At 41.6% G+C, this 19,473-nt stretch overlaps 2 annotated features.

Annotated features, from left to right (window-relative positions):
• Window positions 17,716–18,915: an enhancer, noted in NCBI's record as "BRD4-independent group 4 enhancer chr9:107814850-107816049 (GRCh37/hg19 assembly coordinates)". NCBI's record gives its function as "activates an origin of replication core promoter dependent on BRD2, P300/CBP, MED14 and CDK7 cofactors, and independent of BRD4, by STARR-seq in HCT116 cells {active_cell/tissue: HCT116}" and the evidence as "EXISTENCE:reporter gene assay evidence [ECO:0000049][PMID:35650434]".
• Window positions 18,382–18,641: an enhancer, noted in NCBI's record as "active region_28736". NCBI's record gives its function as "activates an Ori minimal core promoter by ATAC-STARR-seq in GM12878 lymphoblastoid cells {active_cell/tissue: GM12878}" and the evidence as "EXISTENCE:reporter gene assay evidence [ECO:0000049][PMID:35858748]".

Raw genomic sequence — 19,473 nt, forward strand, 5'->3', positions numbered from 1 at the left:
TGGTGGCACATGCCTGTAATCCCAGCTACTCAGGAGGCTGAGGCAGGAGAATCGCTTGAACCCAGGAGGCCAAGGTTGAGGTGAGCCGAGATCATGCCATTGTACTCCAGCCTGGGCAACAAGAGTGAAACTCTGTCTCAAAACAAATGAACAAACAAAAAACAAAAAAGAAAACACTTAATTTTAATATTATGTATATATACTTTGCCACAATAAGGAAAAGTATTTTATTTATATTTTGCCATACTTATATGCATCTTAATAAATCTTTTTTTTTTTTTTTTTTTTTTTTGAGACAGAGTCTTGCTTTGTCACCCTGGCTGGAGTGCAATGCCATGATCTTGGCTCACTGCAACCTCTGCCTCCCAGGTTTAAATGATTCTTGTGCCTCAGCCTCTCAAGTAGCTGGGATTACAGGCATGTGCCACCACATCCAGCTAACTTTTGTATTTAGTAGAGATGTGGTTTTGCCATGTTAGTTGGGCTGGTCTCAAACCCCTGGCCCCAAACAATCAACCCACCTCGGCCTCCCAAGATACTGGGATTATAGGCGTGAGCCACTGCTCCCAGCCTTAATAAATCTTAATAAATAAAATTGTAAAATATGATTAACTTATTAAGATTTTCTTGATGTGCAGAAAGATATCTTAAATAAAACATAGCTGACTAGCTTCTCTTTAATAATGTGCTGTGAGACAATTTGAACTCCAAGACCAAGAAGAGAAATCACAGTTCCCTAGGAAGAGAGGAAAACATGCTGACTTACACTCTCTTTTTGGGGCCTTCACAAAAGAACTCTTAGGTCTTTTGTCTTCAGTCCTTTGCCAGATGAGTGTTACAAGATGCCAAATGTTATTGACCAAAAGGCCAATCACACCCCATGAACAACTTACACATCAATTTTCAGCCAGAAACTAAAGAGTTTGCGGACCAAGTGAAGAGTTGAAAAAACTTCCTCACTAATTCAAGAAAAGAAAAAAAAAAGAAAGAAAGAAAGAAAAAGAAATGTTTATATGGAAAAACTAGATGGAAAGTTTTACTAAAATTCCTGAGTTGTTTGACTAGCTCCCAAATACTTAACAGTAATGTCCCACTATATTTAAATGTAGAGGTCAATTGACAGATGCCTCATTATTATTAAAAATTATCAAAGTGCCAATGTTTGAAAATCATTCATTTTTTTTTAAAAAAAGTAAATAATTTCTGGCCGGGCACTGTGGCTTACATCTGTAATCCTAGGACTTTGGGAGGCTGAGGTGGGCAGATCACCTGAGGTCAGGAGTTAAGGAACAGCCTGGCCAACATGGTGAAACCCCATCTCTACTAAAAATACAAAAATTAGCCGGGAGTGGTGGTGGGTGCCTGTAATCCCAGCTACCCAGAAGGCTGAGGCAGGAGAATCGCTGGAAACTAGGAGGCAGAGGCTGCAGTGAATCAAGATCGTGCCACTGCACTCCAGCCTGGGTGACAGAGCAAGATTCTGCCTTAAAATAATAATAATAATAATAATAATAATAATAATTTCTGTGTAACCTACATAAAGCTGGGTCATTGCATGACCCAGCCCCTACTTAGAGTTGCATTCAGTGATTCAATATAAATACGACAAAATGAAATTATATATTTATCTCTACTCCCCCCTAAAACCCAGATAAAATGACATTAAATAAAAAAGACTTTTTGAAAACCCTACGAGAGTAAAGACAGTGGAAAAGGATAAACAAAGGATGACAGAGATCATAGAACTGTTGGAAGATAAAAAGCAAATAGAGATACTTTTTCCTCAGTGACTTAGCAAACAAGAGCAAGTTTCAAACAAAGTTACTGAAAAGAAGAATATAGATAATATGTGAAGTGATTTTTCCAGTGACTTCCCCAGGAAAGCGTCAGCATTTGGAAACAGCAGCCCACCACTAGAGAAGTTTGAAGTCTGGGGTATACTGATGGTAATAATAAGAACAAGAAAACCCAAACCCAGCTCAAGTCCTGATTAGATGATTCAATCCCCCAATACTAATGGTCTGACGGAAGAGAGGTGTACATATATTCAGGTATAAATACTGTTACCTCAGTCTCTACTGTTCTACACATGATACCTGGCAGTCAATCAAAAATTATGAGGCCAAAAAGCAACAACAACAAAAAACCCAAACAACTCATTAGTGGGAGATAAAATAATCAATAGAACCAGACTTAGAGATGACTCAGATATAGGAAATAATGGATACCAGAGAGATAAAAACTATAAGAGTCAAATGGAAATATTAGAAATAAAATATATATCAGATATGATTAATTTCTTTGATTGGGCTTGTCAACTTAAGAATCAGTGACATTTAAAAAGGTCCATAGAAATTATTCAAATGGAAATAGAGAGAAAGAAAACAGTGAATTAAACAGAACAACGAATTCAAAAGCTGTGGGACAATATCCAGCAGTTTAACATACATGTCACTGAAATCACAGAATAAGAAGAGAGAGAAGAAGCAGAAAAAGAAGGAAAGTGAGGGAGTGATGTCATTATATGTCTGGAAAAAGATATCAGTGTAGAAGTACTCCTAGCCTCTCTAGTCCCTGGCAAAGAAGAATTCTCTTTGCCCACTGGTTTGGGCATTTCTTGTGATGAATTAGAGTAACAGGCAGAGATGAATTAGGTGCTTCCAAAATTAGCTTGATTTTATTTCCACTGGAAAGAGTTGGGATTTACTCGTGGGAAAAATAATATATTGAGAAAAAAGTAGTGATCTGAATTAAGAGAGCATTTGGAGAGGGATTTGGACAGAGGGAGGAAAGAGATAAGAGAAGTTGCTATGTTAGAGAGAGATAAATTGGGAAAGAGAAGGTTACATTCTGCCATGCCTTGTAAACTTAATCCTTTAATATAAATCAAGAGTTAAAAATTTAAATTTTATTTTAGCAAAGATTTAAATTACTTTCCGATTATTGGTTGTTGAACCAGTTGTTTGTTTTTATTTAGTTTTCTAGTTTTCAAAGAATATATGCATATAATTAATTAATTTTTAAATAATTAAATAAATTTTTAAAAAATTAAATAAATAAGGCTTATGAAGAAAAAACAGCAGTTCGTTTTGTCCTTCCTCCTACTGGTCCAATTTTGCTCCCCAGAGGCAATCACTTTTCACTTTTATACCTTTATTGACATCCATATTTTGAAATGATAAGTTCGTTTTTTATTGATTCATTCATTTTAGACATTATCTACTAACTTTCCAGAGTGGCAAGTGAATATTTAGGTTTATTTTACTTCCCTACTCAATTTCTGGGTTTTCCAACTTCCAAGTAGCCTCATATTACAATCTTTTGTTAAATCAATAGTCAATGTTTACTTAATTACAACTATAAACATTCTTTACCGCTGGGCCATGTGCTGTATTTTGATTATGATTCCTTTCTTATATATGTTGGGTTTTCTAAGGTTAAGCTTTAACTACTCAAATGCTCCAACTGGCTCGTAAATTCTTCTCAAATTCCCCAACAGATTTATAAAACCGCTCTTAATACTAATTTCCACATTAAAAAATAATCATAAAATCTCCCAGATCCAATTTTCTGGTTCTTTTCCTAGAAAACTCATTTTTAGGGCTTATCATTCTCCTTTTTCAATTAGGACTTGCTCTTTCTGCCTACCCCTACCCTGAGCTGTTTTCCTGGGACTTTCCTTTGGTTCATTCCTGAGTTGGATCATGTTTCCTGGTCTCACATCTCCCTCTTTCTTAATTTATTCCTCTTTTTGGTGAAGCTCTTACTCCAGGGGCTTCCGGAGAAATGATGATTTTGAGGTAAATTAGTTTTGTGTTTTTGCATGACTGGTAATGTCATTTCTCTGCCCTCTTACTTGATTAACAATTTGGGTTTCAAAATCAGTGTTTAAAATCATTTTCCCTTAAAATTTTAAAGGTACTACTTCACTAAGTGCTGGAGTTTTTATTGAGAAACCTAATGCCATTTCTTGTTACTGGAGCACGTGGGGCCTGTTTTTCCCTCTTTTGACACTTTTAGAGTCATCTTTAGTCCTCGTACTGCAAAGCTTAATAAGAGGGTGCCTGGGTTGGACCTTTTTAAATTCATTGTGTTGGGTTGTTAATGGGCTCTTTCAGTCTGGAAACTCTTGTCCTTCAGTTTTGGAATTTTTTTTTCTGTGGCATCTTTTATATTTTCCTTCCATGTATTTTTTCAGTTTGCTTTTCCTGGATGTCAGACTTCCTAAATTGATTCCCAAATTTTCTTATCATTTTTATAGTTTCTTTTCTATGTCTTCTTTTCCACCCTTCTCTCTAAAAGATTTCAATTTTATCTTTCATATTTTCTATCAAATTCTCCATTTCAGTCTGCAGGAAACAGTTAACATAGCAGGCCTAATATTGCTATCTCTAGGAGGTTTGGGAGATGGCCCCTGAGAACTTGGCCTCTGGTATGTTCCCTAAGCTTTGAAGTGATAGGGTTGTTTTTGTGCCTGCATTCTGTACCAGCCTGCCTAGAGTGCATATGCAAATAACATGATTTATGATGAACACCTGCTTTCCTTCTGAGGGTATGGAACTTTGGTAACGTGGCTGGTTGCACAGGCAGAGAATACTTGAATGACCAGCATCAAAAACCCCGGATTCTGAGTCTTAAATGGTCTTACCTGGGTAGAAACACTGCATATGTGTCCCTGCATTTAACTGCTTCAGTGTGTTATGTGAGATAACCACTGCTCCACCCAGAGGAAAAACTTTGGAAGCCTGTGCTGGACTTGTCCAGACTCTGCCTGACGTGTTTTTCCCTTGTTGATCCTGTGTGTTCTTTTGTTGTAATAAACAAGAGCCATGATTACAACTGTCTCTGAGTCCTGAGTCTTTCTAGAGAATCACTGAATGTGTGGATAGTCAAGGAAATGCCTCAAACTAACAGTTATCTCATATATATACATATGTTATTTCTATGAATTCTATTTTGTTCTCTGGTAGCACCTCTTCTTAAAAAGCATAGCACTCTGCTCTTGTTTAAGGTATACAATATCTTCTCTTACCTTGTGGAGAATTTTAATTCTACACTTTGTAGGTATTGCTCCATATGTTGCCTTTCGCTCCATCTACTTGGTTTTGGTCTCTCTCTTTAACGTTGGAGACTTTCCTTATATATTTGGTGATGCCTGCTTGTCCATTCGTGGTTAATGATGAAGCACCAAAAAGCTGATGGAAGCTATGTTTGCATGGATAGCTTGTTGAATGAGCAAACTGCCTTTCTTCATAGGGAGTGTCAGTATATAGAAGCTTTTCACCTGGGAATAGTTTCTCCAGAAAATAATTCTTTAATTTTCTACTTGTGAGGCACTTGCAGGGCTGCTGGGTTTTTATGACTAGAGTAGGCAGTGGTTTTAAAAAAATCTGGAGATATGTATACGGGACTCTCTTAGTTCATTTAGTGGTACTATATGGTGCTGTAACAGTATACCTGAGGCTGGGTAATATATAAAGAAAGAGTTTTTTGTTTTTTGTTTTTCTCACAATTCTAGTGGCTGGAAAGTCCAAGGGCACAGTGCTAGCATCTGCTTGGCTTCTGGTGAGGGCTTCATGTTACATCATAACATGGTGGAGATGTGAAGGGGAAGCAAGCATGCCAAAAGGACCAAACATAAGGAGGAACCTTGTTTTATAACAGCCCGCTTTCCAGGGACCTAATCTAGTCTCAGGAGTGAGTACTCACTCCCAAGAGACAAGATGGCTTTAATCTATTCATGAAGAATCCAACCCCATGACCCAAGCACCTCCCCCTAGCCCCACCTCCCAACACTGCCACACTGGCAATTGAACTCTCTTGAGTTTGGTGGGGACAAAACACATCCTCTAGGGCAGCCATTCCTCCCTAATCGGGCACAGCCCCTTCCCTCCTCCTTGTGGCCCAGGGATCATCTGCTTTCTACTCTGTCTACAGATTCTATACCCCTTCTTTTGTGCTGCTCCCACTCTCACCTCTGTCAGACAGGTTATGGAACAGGATGCAGTCTCCTTTGCTTCTGATTTTCTGCTCCCCCCAGATAAGTCCCTTTTCCCCTAACTATTACTTCTAATGAAGTCAGGGAAATGGAAGGATGGCAAAAAATCACAAAGATGAGACCAGAACAGAGGTTTCTAAACTCTTACAACATTCTCAAAATTACTGTCCCTAATTTTTGTTCCCTAATTCTACTGTTGCACCCCACCCCCACTTTGCTGCTTCCTCCACCCCACACGTGTTGTACTCTAAAAAATAAGAAGAAAAGGCCAGGTGCAGTGACTCACGCCTGTAATCCCAGCACTTTGGGAGGCCGAGGCAGGCGGACCACCTGAGGTCAGGAGTTTGAAACCAGCCTGGCCAACATGGTGAAACCTCGTCTCTACTAAAAATACAAAAATTAGCCTGTCCTGGTGGCGGGTGCCTTTAGTCCCAGTTACTTGGGAGGCTGAGGCAGGAGAATCGCTTGAACCCAGGAGGTGAAAGTTGCAGTGAGCCAAGATCGTGCCACTGAACTCCAGCCTGGGTGACAGAGCGAGACTCCGTCTCCAAAAAAAAAAGAAAAGAAGAAGAAGAAAAATAACCTTTTTAACATAGGGTTGTAGTAGAAAATTCCAGATAACATTCCTCATTCCCTACCACATACCCACACTCAAATTGAAATTCAAATTAAAGTCCTCTATAACTTGTTCACCCACCATTGTTAACATTTTGGTGTTATTTCTTTCCAGGCTTTCTTCTACTCAAAATGTTAGATTATGCCCATATATAAATCATATATTTTGCAAAACTGGGATTTTACTGTTCATATATATATATATATACATATATATATATACACATATATATATACATATATATATACATATATATATACATATATATACACATATATATACGTATATATATACATATATATATACATATATATATATATATATATATATATATACATATACATAATTTTTTTTTTTTTTTTTGAGATAGAGTTTCACTCTTGTTGCCCAGGCTGGAGTGCAATGGTGTGGTCTCGGCTCACTGCAAACTCTCCTTCCCAGGTTCAAGCGATTCTCCTGCCTCAGCCTCCCGAGTAGCTGGGATTACAGGCACACACCAACACACCCAGCTAAATTTTGTATTTTTGTACAGAAGAGGTTTCACCATGTTGGTCAGGCTGGTCTCAAACTCCTGACCTCAGGTGATCCGCCCACCTCAGCCTCCCAAAGTGCTAGGATTATAGGCTTGAGATACCGCACCCAGCTGTTCATATATTTTTGTAACTGCTGTTTTTCTTTAATAAATAATGGGCACCCGCCTGGATAAATAAATACAACTCACAAGCCCATATTAATTATCTGAATTATATTGACTTAAAATAATTTATCTAAGACCAGATGGATGGACATTCAGGTTGTTTTCAATTGTATGCTGTTATAACTATTGCATGGGTTAGCATACTTGCATAAATATCTTTGCACATTTGTCCAACGTTAAACCTAGGCATAGAAGTTGAAGGAGCTCTAAATCAAGGTATACTAATTTCTACCTCATCAACATTGGCCCTTCTGCCACATCATTGCTAACATTGCATATTAGCATGCTTTTAAGTTTTTGATAGGCAAAAGATGCAACAATTACATCTTGTTTGTATTTGCATTTCTTTGCTACTAAGTAAGTTTCCACATATTTGTTGGTCACTTGTTTTTATTTTATCACTTTCTTGTTCTTGCCCATTTTTAAAAGTTAGGATGGTGAGCTTGTTTTATTCTTTAACAGTTCTTTGCATACTCAATATATTCACTTTTAGTCTGATACATAGATTGAGAATTTTCTTCAGTTTGTCATTTGCATTTTTATATGCTTATGGTACTTTTGGATATTTAGAAGAAATAGAATTTTCATGGTAAATCTGTTTGTGTTCCTCTTTCTGGTTTCTGTCTATGGTGACATTTTCTAAAAAGACCTTCACTCCCTCTTCACTCCCTATCAAGATATTTGTTAGTATTTCCTTCTAGTACTTTTATCTTTTTATTTGTTTATATTTAATTCCTTAATCCATTTCAATTTATTCTGATATATGATGTTGCATGTTAGTGATCTCCAGAAAAACAGAACCAATAAGATATGTATACGGAGAGAGAGAGAGAGGAGAGAGGGAGAGAGAGATTTTAGGAATTGAGCCAGTTGTGTGACTGGCAAATTCAAAGTCTGCAGAGCAGGTGGCAGGCTGGAGACCCAGGGAAGAATCAATGTTGTAGCTTGGGTCAGAAGGAGTCTGGGGTGAACGGCTCATGCCTGTAATCCCAGCACTTTGGGAGGCTGAGGCAGGCAGATCATTTGAGTCCAGGAGTTTAGGACCAGCCTGGGGAACATGGTGAAGCCCAGTCTCTACAAAAAATACAAAAATTAGCCAGGCATGGTGGTGGTGTGCCTATAGACCCAGCTACTCGAGAGGCTGAGGCCAGAGGATGACTTGAGCCCAGGTGGCAAAAGTTGCCATGGGACTGTGCCACTGCACTCCAGCCTGGGCAACAGACACCCTGTCTCAAAAAAAAAAAAAAAAAAAGAAGAGGAAGAAAAAAGGAGGAGGAGGAGGAGGAGGGGGAGGGGGAGAAGGAGGGGGAGGAGGAGGAGGAGGAAGTTCAGAGGCAGTATTCTCTTTTTCTCAGGAGACCTCAATTTTTCATAATCTTAACGCCTTCAACTGATTGGACAAGGCCCACCCAGTTTATGGAGGGTAATCTGCTTTACTCGAAGTCTACTGATATAAATGTTAATTTCATCTTAGAAATATCTTCACAGAGATCTCTTGACTGGTATTTGACCAAAGAGCTAGATATAGTGGCCTAGCCAAGTTGACACACAAAATTGCCATCACAGAGTGAGTCAGGGATCTAACTTTATCTTTTCCCTATTCTCTTTCTGATAAGAGGTCCCACAAAGCCCTGATTCCCTCATATTCTCTTCTGTTAGACTGTAGGGGCTAAAAAAGGTATTCAACAAACTTCCTTCTCTTCTCTTAGTTTGGCCTTCCATTCTCTAGATCCTACAGATGCCTTTTCAAACCTCAAATGACAAATAGACGAAAATAATGGGTGTGATCTAGTCTATTTGTCTCCAAAATTTGGGAGCTTGACCCATAGCAGACAAAAGGCATGCCCCATCTTGATCTGTGGGGGGATTTTTGCTCATGGCAGCGTCCCCTTAGACACCCTGAAGAGATAGCCAGAAAAGTGTGAAATTTCTACTTATCTTCACACTCTAGTAAGCCCTCTAACCCTTGTTTCTCGACTACAAGGCAGGATCCAAGAGTTCTAGAGCTTTCTAGCCAGGGCATTGTGAGGACATGGAGCCCGCAAGGAAAATTTCTGCCCAAGCATATGACATTATGATTAATAAGCATCAGCCATTAAGTATTTTGAGAGCTTCAGATGAAAGTTTCACAAACAGACCAGAGTGTCATATAATAAGGATTATAAGCTTCTAAGTATTTCATACTTGCCTTGATCAAAACAGAAAACTCTTCATGTATACATTATTAATAAATTTGGATGCCCCTTTAAAGGTGATTAATTAGGTCTGAGTCTCCTTCAGACTCTATGATCACACTGAAGATCTACACACTGGTCTGTCTGCTCCAGAGCTCCAGGCTTTTATCTCTCTAGTTTGGCAGGAATCTCCATGGGAGGCCAGTCCTAGCCTTGAGTGTGAAGGGTCACCAGTGGGGCATCATCCCCTGCGTTCTGGAGTGTGCTGAATGCCAACTCCCATTACATGGGGACCAAAATGAGCTCAGGAGCATTGGTATCAAGCCAGACTGCCAGTCTTCCACTCAGGCATCTCGGCCAACCTGCAACAAACACTGCCTGGTCTAGCTATTTAGAACTGAATAATTGGCACAGACATAGATGCCTGCTGACTTGCATTTGGTGCTCCCATTTGAATTTGAATTCTTTCATTAAGCCACAGAGCATCCTTTTTAAAGGTCCAGATCCTCCCAGGATAATTAGACTCTTCCTACAGCAACAGGAAGGCTGAATTATTCTTTCTGTCTCCCTGATCTGGCTGCATTTAAACAAGTTGGTAGGTACTTTCTGAAACAATTAGAAGAAAAGGGATAAGATGAGTGAGGCTCAATTCCCTTTTCAAAAAGTGCAGACAATGGCGGGTGCGGTGGCTCATGCCTATAATCCCAGCACTTTGGGAGGCTGAGGTGGGCAGATCACTTGAGGTCAGGAGTTCGTGACCAGCCTGGCCAACATGGTGAAAACCCGTCTCTCCCAAGAATACAAAAATTAGCCAAGCATGGTTGTGCAAGCCTGTAATCCCAGCTACTCAGGAGACTGAGGCAGGAGAATTGCTTGAACCCGGAAGGCGGAGGTTGCAGTGAGCCGAGATCATGCCACTGCACTCCAGCCTGGGTGACAGAGCGAGAGTCTATCTCAAAAAAACAAACAAACAAACAAAAAAACAACAGTGCAGACAAGAGATCTAAAAATGCTTCTTGCTATCTAGTAAGCTTGGATGTGCCTTCTTGGAGGCTACAGAAGGGTAGCCTTGAAAAATTGGATTTTTGCTGGGTACTTCCCAGTGAATCAAGGCACTGGCATCCCTGGGGGGCTCTGCAAGGTTATGGTCCTGAGGTTTGTGTATGAGAGTCCTGTTGCTGTTCCAGTGCATTTATAAGCCCTTATTGAGATGGCAGGTGACTAGAGGGAAAAGGACTCCTGTTGAGTATTTTTTTTTTTTTTTAAGAAATCCTTTAGGAAGCTGGATTAGGCTACGTGGAAATGTAATTGTGATTCTCAGCAGGCTGAGACTCATTAACAAAGAGCCAGAATAATGGGTTTTTATACAAGGTATTCATTCATTCATTTTTATTCATTTATTCTTTAACTGAATGTCTCCGCTAAGTGCCAAGCACTGGGTGGGATCCAGTCCCTGTCCTCAATGAGCTGAAAGTGTTTATATGGGAAGGGAAGTGTGGGTGGAGAACAGAATGCAGGAGAGACAGACAAGTAAACAGGTTATTAATACACTGTGATAATTACTAAAACAGTGGTAGGTACAAGCATCAAAATTCGGATGGGGAATAATGCATTAGAAATGGTGTAGGGAAAAAGTATGAAGGAGAAGAAAGACTTGACAGTGGACATGAAGCTATAGCTGAGCCTTTTTTTTTTCTTTTTTTTTTTTTGATACAGTGTCTTGTTCTGTTGCCCAGGCCAAAGGGCAGTGGTACAATTATGGCTTACTGCAGCCTCAACCTCCTAGCCTCAAGCAACCCTCCCACCTCAGCCTCCTGAGTCACTGGGACTACAGGTACATGTCACCATGCCCTGGCTAGTTTTTTTTGTGGACTTTTTTTTTTTTTTTTTTTGAGATAGGGTTTCACTCTGTGGCCCAGGCTAGGGTACAGCAGTATGATCTCGGCTCACTGCAACCTCCACCTCCCGGACTCAAGCGATCCTCCCACCTCAGCCCTCCCAGTAGCTGAGACAAGTAGGCACCACCATGCCTGGTTAATTTTATTTTTTTGTAGCAACGAGGTCTCATTGTGTTGCCGAAGCTGATCTTGAACTCTTGGCTCAAGTGATCCTCTTGCCTCGTCCTGCCAAAGTGCTAGAATTACAGGTGTGGGCCACCACACACAGTCTTTTGTTGAGTCTTGAATGATGAGTAGGAGCTTGTCAGACAGATCAAGAAGTAGGTAGAAGAGAAAGGAAGGCATTCCAGTCAGAGACAAGAAAAGGCAAAATGAAGGGGGCATAAAACGACATGGTGTATGCACAGTACTGTGAGTTGGTATGACGAAATGCTAGAAGCATGGGGAAGGGGACAGAAAAAAATGAGACTAGAGAGGTAGCCAGGGGCCAGATCTACAAGTTCTTTCAATACCATGAAATATATCCCTGAGGCAATGTGTCTAATAAGCCGTACCCTGGAATTTTGGGTCACCTGGCACAAACTATGGCTAACTATATCTATCTCTTCCTAAAAGTCTGTGGACCAAGGAGCTCCCCAAAGAGCAAAGGATATGGCACATCCATTGCTTGACCTGGTATATGCTAATAAAAATAAAGTACGGACAGGCACAGGCCCAAGACTAATGCCCTGCAGCAGCCACAAGGGGCTTGCTTCCATATCACTTTCCATTCATTAATTGGTATCCACTGGGTATAATTATGAAGCCACCACATGATACCTGTATCCAGCCTCTCTTTCCACATTTTGCATTCAATAATGTCACATGAGACATGTCTGGCTGTCATCCAGATATTCTGTGCTCACTCCACATATCTGCTCAACCAGTCTAATGGCCTTAATCAAAAAAGGAAATTAGATTACTCTAGCATGACCTGTTTTACTGAAATGCTACTGGCTTAGAGGGATTGCTGCTTAATTTGTAAGCACTCATAAGCCATTAGTAGAATAATCTCTTATGGAATTTTGCCTAGGACTGGTGCCAAGCTCATGAATCCATAGTGGGTGAAACAGGGAGGGAAAAATTAATTGTATTTCCTAAAAATCAAGGCATTTGTCCATCCTTAGTACTCCAGTATGATTCCTATTTTTCATCAGTCCTTGAGATTATCAGCAGCAATCCTGTGATCTTACTAGCAAACATAGTGATAGCTTGAAGAGTGATTTGTTTAGGCCAAGAGACAAAGTCCAGACAGCTGTTACCTCATTTCTCCCCTCTGAGAAGATTTCATCTCTTTAATTAGTTTGTGCCAGTCTTTTTAGTCAGAATATCCTTATTCTTGACAGAGAAGAAACAACAACATTGGACCTACCCAATAATCTTTCTGATTCTTTCTTTTGTTCTGTCTCTTGAACGCTTTTATCTGTTCTTGGTGAGTCTAAATTTTTTTCAAAGGTTGACTTGCTTAGAACATTAACTCTCATATTCCATATATTTTGTCTCAATATTTACCATTCCCCAACATCCAAAGTCCACAGGACAAGTGTTTCCAACATGACAATTGATGGTCCCTGAAACCACACATCTGAACTCACTCTGAGTCACATGGGGATTTAGTGCTTCAGGAATTATCTCAGAGGTAATACATCATGAGGAAATCTGCAGGGACAAGAGTCTTGCAAATCAACCTTGACAGGAGAGACCCCTTGAACTCGTTCACTTCTGTACAATTCCATTTCGATATGTCTCTTTTTCACTACTTGAGTAAAAGACAGACTTAGGGTTGAGAAGACAAATTATCTCTATGGACCTCAGTCTCTTAATTTATAAAATGAAGAGTTCTGGTAAGATAACTTTTAAGATCTGTTTCAACTAGAAAGTTATACAGCCCCAGAAATCTGAAGAGAAGAAGAAGAATTAAGATTCATGGAGGACCTATGACAAACTAGACATTATGCTAAAATCATAACGCCCGAGACCTCTTTTAGATCAGACAACAATCTTATGAGCTGATCCCATTTGGCAGATAAGGAAGATGAACTTTACTGGTATTGCATACTTTGTCCAAGGTCACAAAACTATTAATCATAAGTAAGGGGCAGAGTAGGAATTCGTATCCATCTACATCATTGATTCTCAACTGGGGCTGATTTTGTCCCCCAGTACGCATTTGGCAATGTCTGGAGACACTTCTGGTTGTCACACTTAGGGAATTGCTACTTGCAGCTAGTGGGTAGAGGCCAAGGATGTTGCTAAACCTCTTACAACACACAGGATAGCCCCCACAACCAGGAGTTATCTGGCCCAGAAAGTCACTAGTGCTGAGGCTGAGAAACCTAATATAGCTAGAAAGCCCAAGTGATATTGAATTGACCTAAATCACTTGTCAAATTCAGAAAATATTAATTATCATTGCTACACACAATTTTCTATCAAAGGATTTCCAGTCACAAAGAACAAACACACATCCCCCAAAGGAATGTAGCTATTATCAAGCCTGAGAATTTTACACTGTATCCCATTATATGCCCGCATTATGTAATAGAAAACAAAATTTTCCAATGCTTTTCTCCCAAATCTTTTTTTGTTTTGTTTTTGTTTTGAGACGTAGTCTCACTCTATTGCCCAGGCTGGAATGCAGGGGGGTGATCTCGGCTCACTGCAACCTCCAACTCCCAGTTTCAAGCGATTCTCCTGCCTCAGCCTCCTGAGTAGCTGGGACTACAGGCATGTGCCACCATGTCTGGCTAATTTTTATATTTTTAGTAGAGATGGGGTTTCACCACGTTGGCCAGGATGGCTTCGATCTCTTGACCTCATGAGCCGCCCACCTAGGCCTCCCAAAGTGCTGGGATTACAGGTGTGAGCCACCACGCCCGGCTCTCCCAAATCTTTCAGTAAAACTGATGGCCCTGGAAGACACAGCATGCTTATCCCATGGCTTCTGCTGTCCACTCACTCACCACTCATAAGCCATGAGTAGGTGGTAAGGGGACATAGCTAAGCCCATTGGCAACACTAGCCATATCCACAAGGTCTTTGACAACAAAAAATTGGAGCTCTAAACATAAAAGTGTTACAAAAGAGAGAGGAGAAAAATGAGTGGAATATGAGGAAAGACCTTAGAATTATCCATTTTGGCGATCTCATTTTGGAGATAAGGAGGTCAAGGCCCAGAGAAGTTAAGTGGCTTGCCAGAAATACACAGAAAACAAAGGCCAGGTCCAAACATCATACAGCACTCAGCTGTAATTTAAAAATTGGGCCAGGCATGGTGGCTCATGCCTGTAATCCCAGCACTTTGGGAGGCCAAGGCGGGCAGATCACCTGAGGTCAGGCATTTGAGACCAGCCTGGCTAACATGGTAAAGCCCTGTCTCTACTAAAAATACAAAAATTAGGGCTTGGCACGGTGGCTCACGCTTGTAATCCCAGCACTTCAGGAGATCAAGGCGGGCACACCACGAGGTCAAGAGTTCGAGAACACCATGGCCAACACAGTGAAACCCCATCTCTACTAAAAATACAAAAATTAGCTGGGCATGGTGACGGGCACCTGTAATCCCAGCTACTTGGGAGGCTGAGGCAGGAGAATCGCTTGAACCTGGGAGGCAGAGGTTGCAGTGAGCCAGGATCATGCCACTGCACTCCAGCCTGGGTGAGGGAGCTAGACTGTCTCAAAAAAAAAAAAAAAAAAAAAAAAAAAAAAAAAAAATTAGCAGGACATGGTGGGAGATGCCTGTAATCCCAGCTACTTGGGAGGCTGAGGCAGGCAAATTGCTTGAACCTGGGAGACAGAGGTTTCAGTGAGCCGAGACCGCACCATTGCACTCCAGCCTGGGCAACAAAAGCAAAACTCTGTCTCAAAGAAAAGAAAATAATTGTTTCTTGAGAAAATAAATAAATCAGCCCAGACCAGAGAACTCCTATGTTCTCTTCACAGCTGCTATCAGCCTATGTGGCAGACCCTGTCTATTACCAACCTGGCAGCCTCTTCTCCCGGTGATCAATCATCTAAGCTAGTCATACCTTCCAAATCACACCACAGAGTTGCCCCAGGGGTCCCAGTTGCCCCATGCCTCATAATTGTTGCATGGCTGGGCAAAGACAGCCAGCTCACCTCATGGTTATGGGGTCTGGAGATCATCTCTAACACCTCTGACATCTCCAGGAACCGCATGCATCTGTGAACACCATCGCCAGGGTGGATTTCATGGCACCTCTTCTTCATGTCTCTAGCATCCAAAACAATTCTAGTATGTCTGACTAATGGAATTGGATTCCTGTGTGTTCATCCCAGCTGCAAAGGAAGCTGGGAAGGCAGGTTTCTGGCCTTTCCTTTGGGTTGGCGTGGGCCTGAAAGGTAGAGAATTCTCCAAACTTGGTGAAGTATTTAAATGAAAGATGTCTAGTCTTTTAAAGAATAAAATTAATTTGATCATCATCCTGATGTTGTGAGGAAGAAGTAACAGAGAGGGAGGTGTCATTTGGGAGCTCCACCATTTAACAAGTTACCCAAGCAAGAAACTTCATTGCCACCTGGTCTTTTCTTCTCTTCCCTTCCACATAAGTCCTACCAATTTACTCTTGAACCCTCTCTAGTGTTTGATCCCTCTTTCCATCCCCTCTGCCCTGGTTTAGGTCCTTAACTGTTCTCACCTGGACTGCTGAAACAGTCACCTAACTGGCTTCCCACCTCTAATTTGATTCCTCGGGTTGTTCTATGAATGATGTTTGTGAAGCACAAGCCTGATTGTGTCACTCCGCTTCTTAGGGGTTTGATGGGTCCCATTGCTGTCCCAATTCTGTCCCATTGCTCACAGGATAAGATGCAAAGTCTTTTATTACCTGACGGTGCTCACCTTTCCAGCTTCATCTCCTGCCACATCCTTTATACACCCTTGTGTAGAGAGCACACACCCTAGTCACAGTGAACTTCACAGAATCCATGATGACATTTTTTGTTTACATGGTTTTTCTTCTGTTCCTTTTGCTAAGAGTGCCTGCCCCATCTCTACCTGGTGAAATCCTTCCCTCATTGACGGCCAGCTTGAGAGTCATCTCCTCTTGGAAGCTTACAAAATTCCTCTAAAGAGAGTTTGAGGTTCCTTCTTCCCGTGTACTTACAGCATTTTGCATCTAGGTCTCCAGTAACCCATCTTGCTGTGTACTTCTGGCTTGATTCCATGGATGTTCCCTCTCTAGATAGCGAGTGTCTTAGGGGCACGGGTCTAATTTCAGTGCTCACTGAACTCTTGCTGTCTGGCGGAAGGCTGAAGGTTGGAGTGATAACCAAATGGGAAACAACTTGGATTTGATCTGGCCTCCTTTCATTGACTATTCTGGTGTTAAGATAGAGGCTTTTGAAATTTGACATCTCAAACTATTCCTTTTATGCAAACACAAAATCCATTACCTTAACATTTTAGGGAAATGGTTGTGTCGACAATAATTTTTTTTTTTTTTTTTGAGACAGAGTTTCACTCTTGTTGCCCAGGCTGGAATGCAGTGGCGCGATCTCAGCTCACCACAACCTCCACCTCCTGGGTTCAAGCGATTCTCCTGCCTGACTCCTGAGTAGCTGGGATTACAGGCATGTGCCACCACACCCAGCTAATTTTTTGTATTTTTAGTAGAGATGGGGTTTCTCCATGTTGGTCAGGCTGGTCTCAAACTCCCGACCTCAGGTGATACGCCAACCTTGGCCTCCCACAGTGCTAGGATTACAGGCTTGAGCCACCATGCGCGGCCAACAATATTTTTAATACTTCATTGTATCAGCAGCTGGATATGCACCCGTTACCAGGAAGCAACCTACGTAAGAAGCCCTAGAGAGTGCTTTGAGTTCTGAGAGTAAGAGCTTCCTTTGCAGATGGGTGGGGCTAGGATGATTAGAATTAAGATTGTTTTTGTCTTAATGCTGCCTTAATGCACAGGACCCACACTGGATCTACACTGGATCCACACTGGATATACGGGATCCACGGAAGCAGTGATGATTGCTGGTTTTGTTCATAGATATATCCTGAGTGCCTAGCCTGGTGCATAGTAGGTCAATAGTAAAGACTTTTCGAATGAGTGAATGAAAACAGGGCTGGAATTCAAGATTGAGACTGTCCCTAAATTCATTGACCTCAAAATAATTTTACATCCACTGAAATAGGAAAAGAATTTCCTAGGCTAGAAGGAACTAAAGAAGAGTGATGAGGGTTGTTGTCATAGCTCGGCTGGTCACGGAAGGCCGGGCTAAAGAGGGGAACGTTTGCACAGAGACGTGAATGATGAACATGAGGAAGGAGCCATGAGTATCTCAGGGAAGAGCATCTAGCTTCCCCTCCTGACCACACACATACACCAATCCCCGCCCTAGCAGCTAAATTATTAAAATACAAAAAATGTGTCTTATTCTCACTTCTACAGTACCCCTTGGAGGTTTGCTTTAATTTCTGACATAATTTATACGTCAGGAAAAGACTGATGCTCCTCTAGTTAGGTTGGGTCAAAATCCCCAGTCGATGCCCTGTGGCAGTTCAAAGGCCCCTGCTGAGACTCCATGGCTTTCCAGGAGCTCACAACATTCCAAGGGTCACTTTCCGATCTATGTCTTACTTCCACACACCTGAGGTCTCCACGTTGATCCTGGATCTATGTCTTACTTCCACACACCTGCGGTCTTCAAGTTGACCTAGGTGTACAGGAACCCTTCTGAATATTATAAAATTAATCAGAGAAGAAGGGAGAAGGAGAAACTAAAATAAACCAAGCTTGCTGCATGTTCAGCATTAATCATTAGGTAGCTTGCTCTCCGACCTGCTTCACCATATTTAATAATTGTTTGTTGCCTACTGTCCTAGAATCAAGTAAGACTCTGTTACAAGATGATAGTTCTGTTAACTGCTCTGTAGATAACAACTTGAACATAATGAAACATTAAGTTTTCCCTTTGAGATATTCTTTCAGGTCCTGTATAACAGTGGAACTACTGATATCAGTTGCTCTGAAGGACCCCACTGACTCAGCTGAGCAGAGGAACACCACGAGCAGCTGACTCACCAAAGAAGGTGATTTCCACATTGTGATGATTTCATCACCCTTGCCCTGACCAATCAATTACCCCAATTTTTAAGTCCCTTGCTCACCACAATCCCCCTAAAAATCCCAGCCCAGGCTGGGCTCAGTGGCTCACGCCTGTAATCCCAGTACTTTGAGAGACCGAGGCGAGCAGATCATTTGAGGTCAGGAGTTCAAGACCAGCTTGGCCAACATGGTGAAATGCTGTGTCTACTAAAAATTTGAAAATTAGCCAGGAGTCATAGCAGGCACCTGTAATCCCAGCTACTCCAGAGGCTAAGGCAGGAGAATCACTTGAACCTGGGAGGCAGAGGCTGCAGTGAGCCTAGATTGCGCCACCGCACTCCAGCTTCGGTTACAGAGTGAGACTCTGTCTCAAAACAAAAAAAAAATCCCAGCCCAGAACTCCTTGGGGGTATGGATTTGAGGGCCTCCTCCCATCTCCTCACTCAGATCCCTGCAATCATTGAACTCTTTCTGTGCTGCAAACCCTGCTGTCTCAGTATAATTGGTCTGTTACTGCACAGTGGGCATATGAATCTGTTGGTCCCATAAATGATTTTGGTGAGCCTAACCTAGAGCCCCTTGTGAGCATCTGCCCATGGCTCAGTGCCCCTTTGTCCTTGGGACAGACCTGGAGACAAGTCCAAGCAGTTGCTTGGTTCCATTGAACTGGGGGCTGTCTCCAGTGCCTTGCTTGTCAATGGGACAGTGGTGACCTTCAGTGCATAAATAGCTTGCAGCAAAGAAATAGTTTCTGGTTTTGAAAGACATCTTTGGTAAGTTTTCTCTGTGCAGCCAGCACCTCTTCCCCCTTTCCTAGTTTGCTGGCCTCCTCAGAGGTCTTTTGACCTTTCTGAGGTTTCGTTGACCCTCCCTGGCAACAGGAAGGGCCTTCTTTGAGGGGATTTACCCTAAATTGGAAGGAGAATAAAGGGCACTGCTTGGGAGAGATACTCTTGATTTCTGAAAGTTGGAACT

This window comes from Homo sapiens, chromosome 9 (assembly GCF_000001405.40).
Source record: "Homo sapiens chromosome 9, GRCh38.p14 Primary Assembly".
NCBI classification, from domain to species: Eukaryota; Metazoa; Chordata; class Mammalia; order Primates; family Hominidae; genus Homo; species Homo sapiens.